Source organism: Homo sapiens, chromosome 13 (assembly GCF_000001405.40).
Source record: "Homo sapiens chromosome 13, GRCh38.p14 Primary Assembly".
In the NCBI taxonomy this organism is placed as follows: Eukaryota; Metazoa; Chordata; class Mammalia; order Primates; family Hominidae; genus Homo; species Homo sapiens.
This window is the reverse complement of record NC_000013.11, coordinates 90,682,536-90,702,641: the sequence shown is the minus strand read 5'-3', so window position 1 is coordinate 90,702,641 and position 20,106 is coordinate 90,682,536. Positions and strand designations below refer to the sequence as shown.

The following is a 20,106-nucleotide window of genomic DNA, read 5'->3' as shown; positions in this document are numbered from 1 at the left end:
TAAGTGTTCTTACAAACAAAACAACACACACACACACACACACACACACACACACACACAAAGGGGCAGAAGGACACCTTTGGAGGTAGAGGACATATTTATTACCTCTATTGTGGTGATAGTATCATCGGTGTATGCATATATCCAAACTCAACACATTTTCTATTCACCTGCAGATGTTTTTATATATCAATTATATTTCCATAAAGTTTATTTATTTAAAAAATAGTTATCTGAAGGTTTTCTCATTTTAAGTATTGAAATGATGTTGTTTCTGTGGAGCTTTGAGTCCAGACACAGAAGTCAACAGTTGAGAGGCACATTCTATTTTCTCTCACCTTGTGAATTCGCTGTGAAAACAACATGAGATTGTTTGCAGTTTTTATTGATCTTTCCCTAGTCTTTGACCCTGAGAGACCACCAATCGCTAAGTTGTTTGGTGTCAATAGAGACCAGGCAGAAAATGATGCCTGTAAAGACCTTAATACCCCCTGAGGTTTCACGATCGATAGCAACAATTTCCCGACAGATCACATAACAAATTTGAGAGACAAAAAAATAAATTAAAGAGAAAACTTGGATTTTATGACTTGATAATTTTAGGTAATCTTGACATGAAAAAAATATGTACATATCCCCTTCAAATCTGTCAAAAATAGAAAGTTGTATTTATTTTTATGCTTTTGTCACTTTTTAAACCATCCTTTAATATTTATATGAATAGCAGTTCATGATCAAATATTTTTAAATTGAAAGTTTTGAATATAGTCCCTAAAAAGTTAATTGGTATTTAATAGAAATTATATCACGTCAACCGATTTACTTCAAAATGGATATGTGTACACAGACACACACATTATGATTACTCTTCATTTGTGGAGTCTATTGAATATTTCTCTGTCATTCTCTTTCTCTGTTTTATACTTAATGGTTATTTTAAGCAATTAATATCATAAGTTGTTCAAAACTATTGTGTCCAGACTTTATGGTACAAAATCATGGTATCTTTGACCCATGCTTTTGTAAATTGATAAAGATCAAATATGTTTTCTAAAGAAAGTCTTAACTTGAAAGTGTTTAGTTATTCAGGCCAATATTCTTGTTAGCTCCACAGGATTTCTAAAAATTGTCAACTCTAACCTCAGCTTTAATGTCAAAACATACACATTTACTCTTAATCAGCAAAATGAGATGCCTGCACTCCTGTTTATTGCCATTGAACATGATTCCAAGATGCCTTATGGGCATTTATTCTCAAAAGCTGACATGTGAGAAATAAGGATACACAGTTATTTCATTCCTACATATCAGTGTTTATCAAGTGTTAACGGGAACAATTTGCATCAGTCTTTCAAGAAAAGATAATTCGATGTAGGGGCCCAACTCAAACTCACTAAATCAGAATCTCTGGAATCAAAGCCTTAGAAATATCACTTTTCGTAATCACTTCATGTAATCCTTATGCATTCTAAATTTTGGAAATTCTTGCTCTTGATAATCCCAGTTCGCTCTTTAGATGAAATTAGATGATGAGAAAGCTGTGGGCTAGGATTGCGCTCCTTAGTGTCCATGTACTTTTTCTGGTGCTAAATACAGAAAATTGACAAGACATCATCTGTTTCCATTAAGAGGTGGTAGAAAAATTCATTTATAAACTTATTACATTTAATCTATTACCATATGTATTAAAGATATTATAATTATAGGCCTGTTATATCCCAAACATAATCTTGGATATTGTCTTAGTCTGTTCAGGCTGCTATAATACAACATCATACACTGAGTAATTTATAAACAACAGAAATGTATTGCTCACAGTTCTGGAGACTGAGAAGTCAAAAATTAAGGCATCAGCAGAGTGAGTGTCTGATGAGGGCTTCATAGATGGCACCTTGTCCTTGCATCCTCACATGTCAGAAAGAGTCTCAGGGCCAGTGCCACCCCAATAGCTTCAACAGGCATTTCCTGTGTGGGATTCTTTGCAGTAACCCTAAATAATGGCTCCACTTAACATTGCCCTGGTGCAGACTTTCTTTGGTTGCCCTGTGACAGTACTCTGCCTGGGCCCTGATGCTCTTGAGGGCATCTTTTGAAATCTAGGTGGAGGCAACCATGCCCTTAGAGTTTGTGTACTCCGTGCCATGGTAGAGGTGGTATCATGTGAATTCCACCATGGTTTACCATCTGGTCCCTCTGGAGAGGTGGCCACAGCAGCCTGCCCTGCACCTGGGCCTACTTGAGCCACACCTGGGATAAATGAGGAGCACTGTGCCAGAATGCAGGGAGAAGAGGCTTGAATGAGGCTCTGTGGGTGTCTGAGGGTCCTCTTCGACATCAGTCCATCCCCTGGGAGTTGACCTGTAACTATGGCCTGTGATGGGAGGGTCAGCCAGCACCTAAAATATCTGAAATGCCTTCAGGGTCATTCTTTCACTGTTTTGATGAATAGCATCTGGCTTCCTTGTGTTCATGCTAATCTCCTTATCAAATATTTGCTTCACTGTACTCTTGGTATTTTCTCCTGAACATGCTTTTTCTTTCTTTACAAGATGGTCAGCCTGATAATTTTTCAAGTCTTTACATTATGGTCCCATTTTGTGTATAGATTTCATCTTTAATTTGTTTTTCCTTGCATTTTACTATAAGCAGTCAATAGAGGCCACGCTGCATTCTCAACACTTTGCTTATTGATTTCTTCCACCACATATCCTATTTCACCACTTACAATTTCCACCTTCCACAAAGCAGTAGGACAGGAACACAACATCTGTAAAAAAGTTAAAGCCTTCTCTACAGATCTGTCTCCTTCTGGGTCTTCACCAGAATCACCCTTCATAGCAAATACCCCCAAAACTCTTCCAGCCTCTACCTGGTACCCAGTTCCAAAGCTGCTTCCACATATTTAAAAATTTGTTACAGCAGCACCTCATTCCCAGTACCAATTTCTTTCTCAGTCCTTACAGGTTGGTATAACAAAATGCTATAGCCTAGGCAATTTATAAACAACTGAAATTTACTGCTTATAGTTCCAGAGGCAGGGAATTCCAAGATCAAGGAAGTAGCAGACTCAGTATCTGGCAAGGGCCTCATAGATGACACTTTGTTGTTAAATCTTCACGTGGTGGAAGGGGCGAACAGCTCCCACATGCCTCTTTTATCAGGTCACTAACCCTATTAGTGAGGGCTCTACCCTCATAATTTAAACACCTCCTAAAGGCCTCACTTCTTAATACTATCACATTGACAATTAAGTTTTAACATATAAATTTCGGAGGCCACATTCAGACCGTAGCAGATAATATGGATGGCTTTTGTTCTTTATGAGTTAGTGAGAAAATATTTATCTTAAGTATCATATGTTTCAAGAGGACTTATATACTTTTTCTACATAATTTTCCACACACATCTTCCATACATTTCTACACACTTAGATTTAGCACATAATAGTAATCGTTCCTTCCGTGAAAACATTTTAAAGTATATATTGTGACCTGGTGTTATGGTAAGTGAAATTTAAAATACTGAGCATTTTTATAAACTATTATTGAAATGAACAATAATAGATTCCATCAGTTAGGGAAAAAAGAAGGGTCCTGATACATCACAAATTCTGGAATAAGTTATTATTTTTTTTTCAATACAGAAGGGAAGAAAATTTTTAGAAGGCCACATCTTATTTCACCCTACACTGAAACAATGTGAAGTTGAAAATAGGGACAGGACATTTTCTTACAACATTTTCACAGCACTATATGTTTCTCTGCATTTTCCAACGCTGTGCAGATGAATGTTACAATGTCTTCTTTTACTTTAACCACTGCTGGTGTGGTTACCTAAGAAGTTTGGATTTCCAGTCACCATTAATGGGCTGCACATGTACCTCTGAACTTAAAATAAAAGTTAAAAAAAAATAAGGTTGTTTTTCAAGGAAATACAGATTATGACTGGTGGAAATTGTTTATGTCTCTCTATAAACATCTAGATGTACATCAGGGCATATGCATATTCATGCATGCATACTTAATTATACATACATGTTGCATATGCTCATTTTGAAGACATGCAATGAATATTTTTAAGGTAAAGGAAAAACTAGATGTCATTCTGTATGAGAAGACAAATACTAATTATGGACAATAACTCTATGATTAAATTTAATACTTGCCAAACATAAAAAGCACATGTACCTAAAATTTTATCAGCTGAAACCTAGAAAATCTCCCTTCAGAAAAGGCTAGCTCTTCCACATTTTATCAAAAAATATATTGTGGTTAAGAACTAATATATATTATTTATAGAATTCTTTTCTGGTACTTAGAATTAAATTTCCTTAAATTTTTCTTAAATATATTGTGGTTATGAACTAATATATATTTTTTATAGAATTATTTTCTGGTACTTAGAATTACATTTTTCTTAGCATACTTCTGGATCATCCATATAGGCTAATCTTTTTTACTTTCTGCAGATCTATTATTTTCTTATTTTTATTATTATTATTTTTTTGAGACAGGGTCTCACTCTGTTACCTAGGATGGAGTGCAGTATGATTATGGCTCACTGCTGCCTCCATCACCCCGGGTTCAGCTGATTTTCCCATCTCAGCCTCCTGAGTAGCTGGGACTATAGGCATGCACCACCATGCCTGGCTAGCTTTCATTTATTATTATTATTATTATTATTATTATTATTATTATTATTATTATTATTATTTGTAGAGATAGAGGTTCGCCATGTTGACCAGGCTGGTCCCAAACTCCCGGGCTCAAGTGTTACCATGCCCCTTGGCCTTCCAAACTGCCAAGATTACAGGCATGAGACACTGCACCTAAGCTATTATTTTTCATTTGATAAGAATTTTTAATGTTTTTCTTTAGAATTGAAAAAAAAGTGTGAAACAAATCCAGACAAATCCAGAATGTGACCACCCCATTAGTCCATGGAAACTGAGTGTCAGGAAAGAAAATTCTTCAGTTTCTGTGTATTTTTCTGTGTGTCTTTGTTATTTTTCATATGTACACATTTTCGTGTGTGTGTGTGTGTGTGTGTGTGTGTGTAATTTATTTTATCATTGAGGATGATTATCACATTGTGGTGATCCAAAAGATCCCATGGCATTGCCAAGAAGAATATTCTCAGGTGATTTAATTTCTCCTTTTTCTGGGAAACTTAGCCAAAAGAATGAACCCCAAGACTTATTCAGATCTTAAATACAGAACATAAATCCTGCTTTTCTGTAGACATTTTGTTAGATACTGACACCCAAGGAAAATAGAATGTGTTTGAAATGTTGGCCTCACATGCGAAAATACCATTGATCTTATGAACTTTGATTCTCTAAGGACAACATTTGAATTTCTCTCAAATTATGTGCAACTCGTGCAGATGGTAGCATTTTATGCTCTAAAATTGAAATAATATATGATACAAACTTAACACTTAAGTGTCCAATATCTAAAAGAATGTCATTTTTCACTTCAGCATGTCACCTGTGGCCCATCCTTTCTTTATAAATGCTCCCAGAGCATTCTTTATAAATTGCTCCCAGAGCAATTCATTTATAACTGTCATATGATACAACATTCTAGGCTGGATTGAAAGTATATTAGTCGAGAGATCATAATATATTATAAAGTCCTTGTAAAAAGCGTTGCTTTATGTATCTTTGAGGAGACCGTAATGGCTACAGACTGTAGCATTATTTAACTTAGACTATTTAAAGGGTTATTTACCTTAGAGTCATTTCCTGTTTCAGGCGCCAAGGAAGTAACCACTGCCTTAATCAAGGACTCCACTCATTCATTTACTCAGGGCTTCTTCTACCAGTACTGAGTATCTTTAACATGCTATACCTTACGCTGGATACTGAGATGAGAGAGAAGGAATCCCTACTGTGTTAAAGAGGTCTGAAGTCTAGGAGGCTGTGGCTTGGACTGCTGGGAACTTCCCAAATATTCATTATCTCTGCTTCCTTAGTAACAGAACCCTGATTTTCTTCAAGACAATGATATTTTCAGGTAAAATACTATGTTTCCCATCCTTGTTTACAGCTAGGAACGGCCATTTGATGTAAGCAGAAGACATAGGATCAGGATTCCAGGAAATGTTTTTAAGGGGTCTGTCTTGCACAGCATCCAGTGACTTTCAGGATGAAAACCACAGCTTTGAGAACAACTGAGTAGAAAGAAAGAAAACAGCCTAATGACTCATGGATGCATTGTATCATCACTGGGCAGGCTACCTTTGGACTACTATTGTGTGAGAAAATAAACCTTTGACTCATTTGAGACACTATACCAAGTCTTTGTTAATTACACCCAAATGCAATTGCTAAGAAATACAGTGGTCAAAACTGTAATCAGGTACATTAAAATGGAGCATATATATTCCTACTTTAGAAGTACATACAAAGTGTGTTTGTTGCAGTTATCATCTCCACTATAATAATACATATATTACATATAATCAATTGTTTTTGATTATTTGCTTAAATTTTATTGTATCTCCCTCTGTGTTTGCCTCTTCCTGCTAGAAAATAAACTTCATAGCCGGGCACGGTGGTTCACGCCTGTAATCCCAGCACTTTGGGAGGCTGAGCCGGGTGGATCACGAGGTCAGGAGTTCAAGACCACCCTGGCTAACACCCCGTCTCTACTAAAAATATAAAAAATTAACCGGGCGTGGTGGCAGGCGCCTGTAGTCCCAGCTACTCAGGAGGCTGAGGCAGGAGAATGGCGTGAACCCAGGAGGCGGAGCTTGCAGTGAGCCGAGATCGCGCCACTGCACTCCAGCCTGGGCAACAGAGCGACATTCCGTCTCAAAAGAAAAAGAAAAAGAAAAGAAACTTCATAAGGGAGAGGACACTTGGCTGTTTTTTTTGCTAACACACCTCCAGTGCCTAAAACAATGCCTGACACAAAGCCAACATTCAGTAAATATGTCTTGAATGAATGAACAGATGACTTAATGGATGGTGAGGAAATGGATGGATAAATATATGGCACTTTCTCAGAAGATGTAGTAGTTCATTTTATCTGTCAGGAGAGTAAATGATAGCAGAGCAAGGTCTGTCTCTGCTTAAGCAGATAAATTTTGATAAGGTAAGCTTTCTGGGTTCTGAACAAATGTTTCTCTGGTTTACAAACTGAGAGTAATATTTTACTGCCTTATTTTATAAATCAAATACAGTATTAATTGAAAATAACCACCACCCTGACATTGTTGCATACTGTGGGAGTCATTTAGCAGTTGAGATTGGCAATATAATAACAAAGTGCTGTTATAGAAAAAGCAGGCTTATATATGTGCCTCATAACTTTCATATAACTATAGATAAGTATACATACCTGCATAAGCATACTTATAACCCTATAAAACATTTGTCAATTTTTCTTTCATATGTATCTGGGCATAATTTGCACTTGTCATTGATTTTTCTTTATTGAACTGATGTCTTCTAGCCCTGAGCAGTTACAAGTAGTGTCACTCGTGGTCTGCAACTTTTTTATTTTATCAGGTATTGGATTCTGTGTAATGCTACTGGTCAGATATTTTTGGCAAGTTTATGTCTCAAACAATGTTCCTTATAGAGATTCATCAAAATCTCCACACATTTACTGGAGCCTAGTTTCTGAAGAACCATAATCGTAACTACTGCCTTTCCTGTGATTCCCACTGTAGCTGGTAGAATACTTCTGTCATGGTTGTTATATGTAGCCCTGTCTCTTCACGTCTTTTAGGATCCTGCTCTTCGAATTAGGGGGAATCTGTTTCATTCTTATTAGAACACAATGACTCCTTTTAAAAATTGGTTACACTTTACACATAGTATGACATATTCTTGAGGGTCTAGGAAATAAGAGAGCCTCAAGAAAAAATTATTTTTACTAGAGTGTAACCTCATTTTGGTCTTCATTCTAGGAGCTGCTATTCATGTTGACCAACAGTCTTAAGCAGAAAGAAATAGCTTCTGGAAAAATAACTGTAAGTGTAACTAAATTCTCTGGAGAAACCTATTCTTTCTTTGTGGTCTTTTTGCATCTTCTTAATTTTTGTTTTCATGTATACATTTTTGATATGGTTTTGGACATTTGTCCCTCAAATCTCATGTGGAAATGTGATCTCCAGTGTGGAAGGTGGGCCTGGTGGGAAGTATCTGGGACATGGGAGTGGATCCCTCATGAATGGTTTGGTGCCCTCCCCGTGGTAATGAGTTACCCAAGATCTGCATGTTAATAAGACTCTGAGACCTCCCCCAACCCACTGCAGCCTCTCTCATCATGTGACATACCTGCCACCCCTTCTTTTGCCATGATTGGGAGCTTCCTGAGGCCTCACCAGAAGCAGCTGCTGGCACCATGCTTCTTGTATAGTCTGCAGAATCCTGAGCCACATAAATCTCTTTTTTAAATATAAACTACCCAGTCTCAGGTATTCCTTTATATCATTGTAAAATAGACTAACACAATTTTGTTTTACACCTGCTTTCTTTCTTTTCCAATAACAATGTAACAGAGGGCACAATACCTAGTAAGAAGGCATGGCTAGTATTTTAAAATTTTGTTTTCTTGGAAGGTGCATATGGATAGTTCTTCTGGTATATACATGGGAGGAAATTTTATATTAATTTGCTTTATTGCAATTTTACCTAAATTCAGTGTGGACCCATGAGGACCTACTACTACTCCAAGATATTCTGAAATAAAATTTATTTATAGGAAATTTAACTAATAATTTTCTATTTGTAAAACAATTACCCTATCTTGTAATCAACTCTCATAATATATTTACAAGTTATTTTCTATTTTGCAAAGAATAAAGATGTATTTGTTAAAATATGGAAACTTGAACATCCAAAATAGTCCAAATAAATGAAGCTTACTACTTGTAGCCTAAAGGACAATCTTTTATCAAATATGTATTAGAGTACTGGTTTTCAGCCAGGGGAACTTTTGCTCACTAGGAGACATTTAGCAAGGACTGGACACATCTTTGATTGCATTACTGTGATGGTATGTGTATGCTACCAACATCTAGTGTGTAGGGCCCAGTGATGCTGCCAAACTTCCTAATAATTTAATTATAACTCATAATCAAATTATAACTAGGAGAATTGTGCCCCAAATATCAATAATGCCTGGCTTGGGAAAGCCTGTATTTGCATAACTAGATGCCAAATAAAACTTGATTATGAGTTATAATTAAATATTTTAATCAACTTTTACATAAGATAAAATATTATTAAAATGATTTTGTTCTGTGTATCATTAAAATATTTTCATCAGTCAAGACGATGTGAGGATTCAAATTTTTTACTAATAAAATGTTATAGAATTTATACCCAAAAATACAACATAAGAAGAGATCACTTCTATAAGATACTCCATAATAATCATATTACTGACTTGGGAACTTGATTGGTTTAAATAAAAGAGTCAATCTTTTCTCTATATAATGCATGGAGAAGACCTTTTTATTTCTCTCAAGTTATCAAAATAAAAGGACACTAATTATTTCTTTTTGTGGCTTAGTGAATTTTTCCATAGCTGTTATTTGTTAAAAACTATAATTCAAATTAAACATAACTTGACATAATATTATGAAGTAGTTTAAAAAACAGATGTCCTGGCCAGGCGCGGTGGCTCACGCCTGTAATACCAGCACTTTGGGAGGCCGAGGCGGGCGGATCACGAGGTCAGGAGATCGAGACCATCCTGGCTAACACGGTGAAACCTGGTCGCTACTAAAAATGCAAAAAATTAGCCGGGCGTGGTGGCGGTCCCAGCTACTCGGGTGGCTGAGGCAGGAGAATGGCTGAACCAGGGAGACGGAGCTTGCAGTGAGCCGAGATCGCACCACTGAACTCCAGCCTGGGCGACAGAGCGAGACTCCGTCACAAAAAAACAAAAACAAAAAACAAATGTCTTAAAATAATGTTTTAGGAAGAGGTGTTTAAATCATCTAATTTGGCCATAACCCTGTCAATGAGACAAAGAAGAAGGCACTAGTTAAGCTAATTTCATCAGACAAGGAATTTGTGAATTAATTGATCATTGCTTTATAGAAAATCTTAAACCTGGAGAGAAAAGGCAGGAAGATAGAATTGATAATCTTCTTTTCTGTTAGTGATTTTAAATACTTTTTATAAGTTTTGACACTATGAATTTCAAGATGCTATGTTTTGAATCACTAAATATCACATAAACAACTTTAGCCTGTATGTTCTTTTAAAACAAATAACTCAAAAATAATTACTACGGGAGTAATGAGTTGCAACCGGGTCATATGTAATGCAGCAAATAAATAGGTTAATCTCCAAGAACTTCTAAGGTTCATTTGATCTTTATTATCCACATTTTTCCAAAACTTACTCAAGTACTATTCTGGCAGTCACATTATATTAATTGTCACTGTATGAACTATAACATTTATAGCTTTATCACATTTATATAGCCAGCTTCACAGTATTATAAACTTCAGTTATTTCGGAAGGAAGAATACATCTTATCAGCTAATATTCATGAGAAAGTTAAAAAGAACTTTCATGGTGGTTTAATTACGTCTTTAACAGAATTTAAAATTCAAATGTACCATTTTTTTCTAAAGATATAAGAAGAATTTTCTAGTGCTGGTATGAAACTTCATTAAGTAATCATTTATTTTAATTAATCGGGCTAATATGCTTCCTTCAAGGTAAGAAATGCAGTTATATCTACACCATAATAGGATATCTTATTCTCTTTTTTGTTCTGTTTTGTTTAGTTTAACAACAGACAAAAATGTAAGAGTATTGCATTGCAATGTAACAGTCAGTCTGTGTATCTCCAATGCTGTACCGTATTAATGGAGCAAGCTATGCTGTAATGATATTTGTCTGAACAACATCATCGAAAACTGTAAATCCCTATTGAAAACCAACACTATAACCATATGTAGTTGACAGAAAGTGATCTGAATGTGTAGCAAAGCTAAGTTTGAAATTATAACTAATAGTTAGGAAATGCTGCTTCCTCTTGTCATGTTAATCTGCTTGCCCAGAAAGCAGAGGAACACTTTAATCAAATGCAATCTTCTTGAACTATACATTCAATGATCAAAGATGCTGTGGTTAAAATAGCGTTCTAAAGACCCAGCGTATCAATCTTCCCCAGTGCTTCCTTCCACCAGTTAGAGCCTGTGGGGCTCCTGCACAGGTGGGCAAAGAATGATTTGAAAGTCACTGCTCTAACCATTTTCAGAGAACTGATACAAAGGGAATTGTCTCATAAAAATTTTTAAGACAATTCAGAGAGTTATACAGTATATCCAGAGAGCAGGTGTTTCTGGTCTATTTCTTATATTTTCCTTTTATCTCCTTGTCTAATTTTCTGAGCTAATGTAATTATGTTATATGAAATTGTTTCTAAAAGGTTTCTAGTAGAAATAAAGCAATTTAATTTTCAGGCAAGGCTGCCAATACATATTTGGGATCCCTTTATTACTTACATCCTTACTTGACTGTATTTCCACTTTTTCTGCCAATTTTTCCTATTCATTTTAGGAAGCTCACCTCAAACTCTATGTAATTCCTTTGAGGAAGCTGAAATAATCTCAGAGAGCTTTGGTAAAAATACACATTTTAACACACCAATCTTGCTTGAGTTATATTTCACTGTAACTTGGTAAGTGGAAGGAATTAACTTTCAGCCATGGGTGTTGCAGAATATCTGGCAAGGAAAAGCTTAGTGTGTGGAGCTTCTTGAATTTTCCTCATTCTTCACTAGACACTTGCTTAGTTAGTTGGCTACAGAATTCTGCCTTCCCTAGATAAGCCTCTGCCAACTGAAAAAATATCTCTGAGTGGGAACATACCAAACTCGTAATGCGTTTCTGAAATATGTACTTTATTTTATCAAAAACAAAAACAAAAACGACTTACCAAGGCACATTCCCTAGACCAAACATAGAATTCTGGGTTCAGTTCCTACCCCATCATCAGTGGCTGATCTTCCAATGGTTATATAATAATATGATAGAGCAGCCCTATGTACTACAGGAGGGGTATTTGTCTGCAAAAATGAGGGACTGAAAACAACAGGCCTCAAATCATACGCATATTGCCAGCTATTGTACTAAACAGCTTAGAGAAAGCTTTGCTTTTCACGAATGTATTAGAAAATGTATTTCTAAAGAAATATTCATTTTTCTGAATTCTAGACTAACAGGTAAATAATAAATTACTGTCAATAATTAAGCATCTATTTCACAAATTTTAGTTTCTAGATGGCAGCTCCTCCAACTGATCCAGGTACTGAATCCACGGGAACAACGTCCAGTGGTGAATTAGTGGGTCTCCCTCCTTTAGCAAGTTGATGTCAAGTCAGGAAACTTGCAAAGTCTGAGACATTATTCTACTTGAACAGTTAGAGGGATAAGTCAATAGATCGATCCTAGCAGAAGCACCATGCCTCTGAATCAAATATCAGACATTTATTTGCTTACAGCAAAAACAGTGACCAGAGTAAATGTGTAGCGTTGTTTTCCAATACCAAGCAGCCCCAGGCAACACTATGAGAGCCAGATGGATTCTGCACATGCAGCGGGTTTGTACTACAGGAAGGGCATCATTTCATGGGTTGAATTGTGTCCCCCATGAAGATATATCGTAATGCAACCCACAGTACTTCCAAGTGTGACCTTAGTTGAAATGGGGTCACTGCAGATGCAATTAAATTAGATAAGGTCATACTGGAGGAAGGTATGTTCTTAATCCAATATGACTTGCATTCTTACAAGAGGGAGAAAATAGAAAAAGAGAATGTCATGCACCGGCATAGACATGGAGGAAAGACAAGTGTTTAAAACAGAGATTGGAGTTATGCTGCCACAAGCCAAGGACTATTCAGGGCTACTGGAAGCTGGAAGAGGCAAGGAAGGATCATTCCTTAGGGGCTTTAGAGTGAGCACGGCCCTGACAACACCTTTATCTGAGACTTCCAGCCTGCAGAACTATAGCACAATAAATTTATGTTTTTCTAAGCTACCCCAGTTTATGGTATTTTGATACAGAATGCCTAGGAAATTAATATAGACCCCAAAATTATAAATGTGAGTACCTACACATTTATAGATATAAAGAGACAGGATATCCACCCTTGTCATCTTCTTCAGAAGTTGAGACTTTATTTTTTCCTATTTTGAGAAAGGAAGATCTCTAGGTCAAAATGTAAGTTTCATGGGAGGTAAGAAACATTTCATTACCCTTTGAAAGGGACCGCATGGCCCCACCATAAAGGAATCCTAGCTATAGGCTCTAGAGCTAGGCTGTGTCTCCCAGTTCCTGACTGTCTTATTTTCCTTATCTTATCAGGCCACTCACTTGCAGCATCTTTTTACCTAAGAATCTTGGTGTTTGTTTCACGGCACATTAACAGTGGATAAAGGGACTAGTTCTACTGTGTCTTCAAGGGAATTGCTAGTACCTTAATTTTCATAAGAACTTGGTAAACATTTGTTGGTTGTATGAATAATATCGGTTATGTTTGCAATGGTAGACCAGAAGACGTAATATAGTCCCTCTTATACTTCCATTTTCTCTCAAATCACACAATCTATCTCAAATAACACATTTATTCATTATGTCTTCAGACAAAATGTCCTCATAGTCAGAGCAAATCTGATAATTATTTAGGTTGTTGATGTCGAAGTGAAAGTAAGGGTACATTATGGGTTGATGAGAACACAATTCTTTCTTGTTTTCTAGCCTTAAATTAGAGTTAGGTTAGCTCTCTATGTTAAAAAGAAAAGTATGTTTGAATAACACAATTCTCTTTCTACTTTTCTTACTGATTCTATGTCTAAGATTATCATTAACATTTAATAATAAGTAGTATTAATAGTATATTCTATAAAACAGAATTAGATATCAATTTTAAAATCTGAAAAATAATGGGAAAATGTGGAAAATTTATTTCGTATTTTAAGATGTTTCCTTTAGACTAGTCTGTCCTAGGAAATTCGTAAATCATATATGGTACAGCAGCTGATGCCAAAAAGACCATTTTCAGATAACAGGGAAAGTTATTCAATTATTCTTATTAAACCAAGACTGTTTTATGCTTATAGGTTTGAATGCTGTGAAATTGGTAATATTTTAATATTCACCAGAATATTGTCTCTACATAATCACAGGCATTTTATTTTTGGTATAGGTCATTTTCTAGTCATTCGTATCTCTAATGAATTACTGCTATTTATTTTTCTGAATAGATATAGCTCTGAGTTTCTAGAAACAATCAAACAACCAAACAAAAAAAAAACCTAAACGATTTTATATTCTCCAAGAGCAAAATAAAGGCACACTTTGAAAACAACATTCTAACTTGGAAAAGGTCATATTTGATTAGTGAAAAGATTGAATTATGGAGTAAATGCGAATGCTTGCAGTTTCCCTACAGTAAATCAAACTAGACTAAGAAAAAGATAGATAAGTAAAGCTGAGGGGAAACCAACTTAATGAGAAAATAAGAAAGATTTATAATGAGCATATCATTGTTTATATGTAAATGGAATCATAAAGTGCTTAAATCCATTTATTCTCTTGAGTAGGTATAAGTGTATTCAGTAGTATTATTTGCACTCAATATATTCAGCAGATTTTCTTTTGAACCTCAGGTACAGAGAATTTAGTTAATAATAACCTTCAGTTCACGTCAATTATTATTCATTATAACATCAATCCATGAAAGTCTGCTCCTGTATTCCAACTCTACTCTCGTTACACCTCATAGGCATCATAAAATTCACATAGATATAGTTTGTCTTATGTATAATTTACATACATTGATTTAGGCTGTAAATCACATACAGTTTTCTTTCTCTTTTTTATTTTTACTCAATAATATGTTTTTAAGATGTAGTCACATTTCTTTATGCATATATGGGATATTCATTATAATCACTCCATAATATTTTGCCATTTACATCTACCCTGTCCAATCCCTGGTGAGAGAAACTTAAATGACCTCAGGCCTCTTCTCCCACAAGCGCTACTGCAATGAAGATGCTTATATGTGATCTTTACACTCCTTATTACAGATCATCTCTGTAGTTACTACTAGGAGAGGGAGGCCATGTGTCACATGATGTGTACGTTTTTATTTCACTAAATACTGCCAGATTGCTCTGCTGAAAGGGTGCTACTATGGAAATGCCTAATATCAGTCACACATGTCATATTTCTTCACATTTCTTTCCATCACTCGGTATTATCTGATTTATTTTATGTCGATTTGACCAATGTAACATGGTGAATGAGGATGTTGACTGACTGCATTTTCCTGAATTTTAGTTGGTTTGAGATTCTTTTCATATAATTTTAGCTTTTTGGATCTCCTCATGTGCATATTGTCTGTGGATGATTTGCCCTCATTTTTCTTTGGACTTCCTGTTTCTTTTTCTTACACAAATGCAATAATTCTTCACATATTTCCCGATTTTAAATAACTATTACTTTGGAATATCATAAATATTATAAAATATTTCCCAGACATGTGGATATAAGAGTGTCACATGTACAAGTCAGCTCTGATTAACCTTTCCTTCCACATGCCACTCAGCCCAGGGAAATGGTTAGATATCCTTCTATAAAAACTAGGAAGCACTGATTTAGCAGTAACACTTTGACATATTTTTCGGATATATGGAAATATGTAAAATATGTTTTCCAGATATATGGAAATATGGAAAATATGTTTTTCAAGTATATGGAAGATATATCTGAAAAATATGTCATAGTGTTATCACTAAATCAGTAGTTCTTAGTTTTCATGTAATCATATTGAACTATTTCCCTGGGCTGGGCAACATGTGGAAGGAAAGATTGATCCTAGGTGACTTGTATGTGTGACACTCTTGTCATCTGCTTTCCTCTTGGGACATGTTTCAGCATTGCTTAACATTATTTCCTAGATTCCACCCAGAACATTAATACTGTCTTTTTTTAAATTCCACAGAAGTGACACATTGGCCCATGATCTATCAGGGAAATGTGTGTGGGAGTGAAGTGGGATGGGGATAAAGCAAAAGCATCTGTGCTTTCGCAACATATTTCTCACTTATGTTTTATCTGGAATCTGCAAACCTAGCTTTGCCTTCTGTGCTGTCCCCAGGGTCGGCTTTTAGGGATGGAGCCAGCAGTAGGTGAGCACCTTACTACGAACCACCATAGATTGGCTTATTTTTTAAACCCACCACTATCAAAGAAATAAAATTTTTCAAGGGATAAGTCCAAATAATGTAATTTTACTTTAAAACTCTAGTAATAAAAACACTTTTATTCTTTTATATTATCTCAGTAGAGTTGGTAAAATGGAAAGCTTTGAGATCTAACTTACCAATCAGTTGTCCTTAGTTAAATGTTGAACTTGATTCATGTCAATTTGTCAAAAGCACTTACAATATGAAATGATCTTTTCCCAAAGATATTTTCCATAATGTGACAATTTTAGCACACTAAGATGTTCTAAGTGAAAAATAGGCACATATATATGACTTAAAAGCATAGCATGGAGAAGCATTATTTGAAATCATAAAAAAGGCAAAGCTTTATTTTTATTAGATAATATATAATTGATATACAATAAGTTGGAAAATTTATTTGGCCATTATAGTTTTCCATTGGCACCTAAATAAAGAAAAAAACATAATATGTATGGTTATTTAAATCATACCTAACTTGTCTTTAAAGGAAGTAGGCACTAATCTCTTTTCACAGATTATTTTTCTGCCTTTTTACTTAAATCAGTTACTTAGAGATGTTCGATTTATGCTTATTACATGTTTAAGAAATTGTTCATATTTCTAAAGGGGTGCATTTTAATGAAAAATGCATTTGCTAGAGAAATCACGTAGAAAATCTGAAGGATTTTTAAAAATACTTAAAAAGTTAGAACTTGCCTTTTAAAGTGGGGCAAAAAGCTATTTAAACAGGATGGGAGGCCTTAGGGTGCAGTGAACATTTTTAATTGCATATTTAATTAGATATATACTGAAGAGGTAGTGTTTGGTTTAGCTAAAGCTCATGGGCTTTGAAAAAAACATTTTTTCTAACTTTTTTTAATCTTTTCAAAAATTGGATTGAGCTGAATAGAATTTAATTTTGTTGCTACTCATTATGAAAGGATTAAACCTTTTATTTTCCTATGGAAAATAAGTTGACAAGTTTATTTTAAAGCATGACTTTTCTCTTTTAATTATCCTTGAAACTTATTTAGCACCTGAACATTTGCTTGCTTGACAGTTCAGAAAAAATTAACATAGCATCTAAATTGTGTAAAATCTAACATCTTTTACATGTTTTACCATTTAACCCAGAGCTTCAATGTCTGGGTGGCTATTGACATTAAGTCTAAGAATAGGCCAGGCACAGTGACTCATGCCTGAAATCCCAGCACTTTGGGAGGCCTAGGTGGGCGGATAACAAGGTCAGGAGATCGAGACCATCCTGGCTAACATGGTGAAACCCTGTCTCTACTAAAAATATTAAAAAATTAGCCAGGCGTGGTGGCAGGCGCCTGTAGACCCAGCTACTTGGGAGGCTGAGGCAGGAGAATGGCTTGAACCCGGGAGGCGGAGCTTGCAGTGAGCCGGGATCGCGCCACTGCACTCCAGCCTGGGTGACAGAGCGAGACTCTGTCTCAAAAAAAAAAAAAAAAAAAAAAGAGTCTAGGAATAACGGCAATATTATTCTCATTCCATATTAATTTTAATATTGCTTCAGGGCAGTATTAAACATGCATGACATGAGTTACAAGAATCTTTTCTTCAATTTCAAGAAATGATTAAACTTATTTTAGTATATTTAGTTTAAAACTTGAGATTCCTCTGTATGTTTAAAAGGATTTCCATTTAAAACACTTATTCTTGTTGTTTTGTTGTTTTTTGAACTTCAACCATTTGTAAAACTTAACTTCAGTAATTTCACATTTCTTAAGAATACTTGATTTGAGTTTTCACTGTATTTGAGATTAGGATAGCAGTTACATTCAAATGAGCTACCACATTTACTCCCTAAAAAGATGAGCGTACCCACGGAGAAAGTAGCTATAATTTAATCTATAGAGAGTATATAAATGTAATTTATTTCTAGAGCAAGAAATAAGTCATTGGCTGTAATTCCCTTATGTAATTCCCTCCATCCTCAAGTAAATAAACAAACTATTCAGTAGAAAAAAAAGTATTTAGAAATGAGAAAGGCATGAAGCCTATAAGAAATAAGATGAGCTGGATTATAATGTTTGAAGTAAGAGAGCTGTACTTGGTTTATTAGCAAGAGCTTAGAGAAAAGATTCCTACATATATATGAATATATATATATATTCATACATATGAAGAAAAAATATATAAATAAATATATATTTATATATAACACACTGTACTTAGAGAAAAGTTGTGTCCTGTGATATTATATGCTTAAGGGATGCGTTGTATAAACAGTGCAGAAAAGGGGAGTTGGTTTTTGCTGCTTTGATGATACATGTGTCACACACAAAGGCAGGAAACGTAAACTATTTGAATGAGGAACAACAAGAGCTGAAGTAGCAACCATTTCCAGACTAGAGTTTTTACCGTCACAGCATTTTTTATTCCGGACGTAATAGGATTAGAACATAAAATTACTCACAGGCTTGAGATTGTACCCTTCTGTGTATTCCTTATGGCATCCTGAGACGTAATCATTCACTAAGGCATCTGTGAGTATCAGCTCCTATCATGATGGTCTTTCGGGAAGTGTTTATCTCTTCAAATGCATTTCTCATTGTCATCAGATACTGAGAGGAAGCTGAGTGAAAGAGAGGATACAGTTTGCTTCCATCATTATTGGCATTCCCCTGTCTCTAGAAATGACAAATGTGCTCCTAGAGGGTAATGTAAACTACATGGAATTGGGAGACATCCAACAGGAAATCCGAGAGGTAGTATGCATAGCTATGGCACAGTTGAAAAACGTGGCTCATTTTCAGAATTAAAATGACAGGGGGGCTTCTGGGTTGCTTAGAATGTGTTATTTTTGGTGGGGGGAGGTTGTTGCTTATAAGAAATAGTATATTAATTTTCCATTGATTTCCACTGACACAAACTTACCATGAACGTAGCAGTTTAAAACAGCACATGTTTATTAGCTCATGCTTTTGTAAGTCAGAAATATAGGTATGGCATGTGTATCAGTCCATTTTCATACTGCTGATAAAGACATACCTGAAACTGGGAACAAAAAGAGGTTTAATTGGACTTACAGTTCCATATGGCTGGGGAGGCTTCAGAATCATGGCAGGAGGCAAAAGGCACTTCTTAAAAAATGAGGAAAAAGTAAAAAGAGAAACCCCTGATAAACCTATCAGATCTTATAAGATTTATTCACTATCATGAGAATAGCAGGGGAAAGAACAGCTCCCATGATTCAATTACCTCCCCCTGGGTCCGTCCCACAATACCTGGGAATTCTGAGAGATACAATTCAAGTTGAGATTTGAATGGGGTCTCAGCCAAACCATATCAGCATGTACCTGGCTTCCTTGCGTAGGGTCTCCTAAGGCTAAAACCAAAGTGTCTACCTACAGGGCAGCATTGTCTTCTAGAGCTTGGGATCCTCTTCCAAGCTCACACAGTCGTGGCAGAATTTTATTCCTCGAGTATGTGGGACTGATGTCACCTTCCTTGCCCTGTGTCCCTCCCCATCTTAAAGACAGCAATAGAGGTTTTCCTTTGCATGTTTAAAATCTCTGTCCTCAGAATGAGCCCAGTCCCTATGAAGCACTCACTTAATTAAGTCAGGCCTATCCAAGATACCTCTTTTTCATAAAGTCAGCTGGGACATATAGCATGTCCTAACTACAGAAATGAAACTTATCACATTCACAGTCCTAAGAATTAACAAAAAAAAGCATGAACAACAGGGACAAGATATTTTAGAATTATTCCTACCATCATGGGTTTATTGTGTGAAGTTTTATTGACCTATACTCTTACTAACTGTATACTCTGTATTCAATTTAAAAATTTATTTAAAATGCATATATAAGTATAAAGAAAAGAGAATAGCTGAAGAACTACAAAAGAAGACATAAT

At 35.5% G+C, this 20,106-nt stretch overlaps 1 long non-coding RNA gene across 1 annotated transcript in view; it reads right to left on the bottom strand.

Moving 5' to 3' along the window:
• The window catches only part of LOC107984572 (uncharacterized), a 28,043-nt gene extending 8,835 nt beyond the window's left edge, over positions 1–19,208 (bottom strand). The window contains exons 1-2 of the long non-coding RNA XR_001750066.1: positions 19,123–19,208; positions 18,662–18,820 (exon numbers count right to left, since the gene is read on the bottom strand). This is a non-coding gene — a long non-coding RNA (uncharacterized LOC107984572). The remainder of the gene's footprint in view (positions 1–18,661; positions 18,821–19,122) is intronic.
• Between the last annotated feature and the right edge of the window lie 898 nt (positions 19,209–20,106).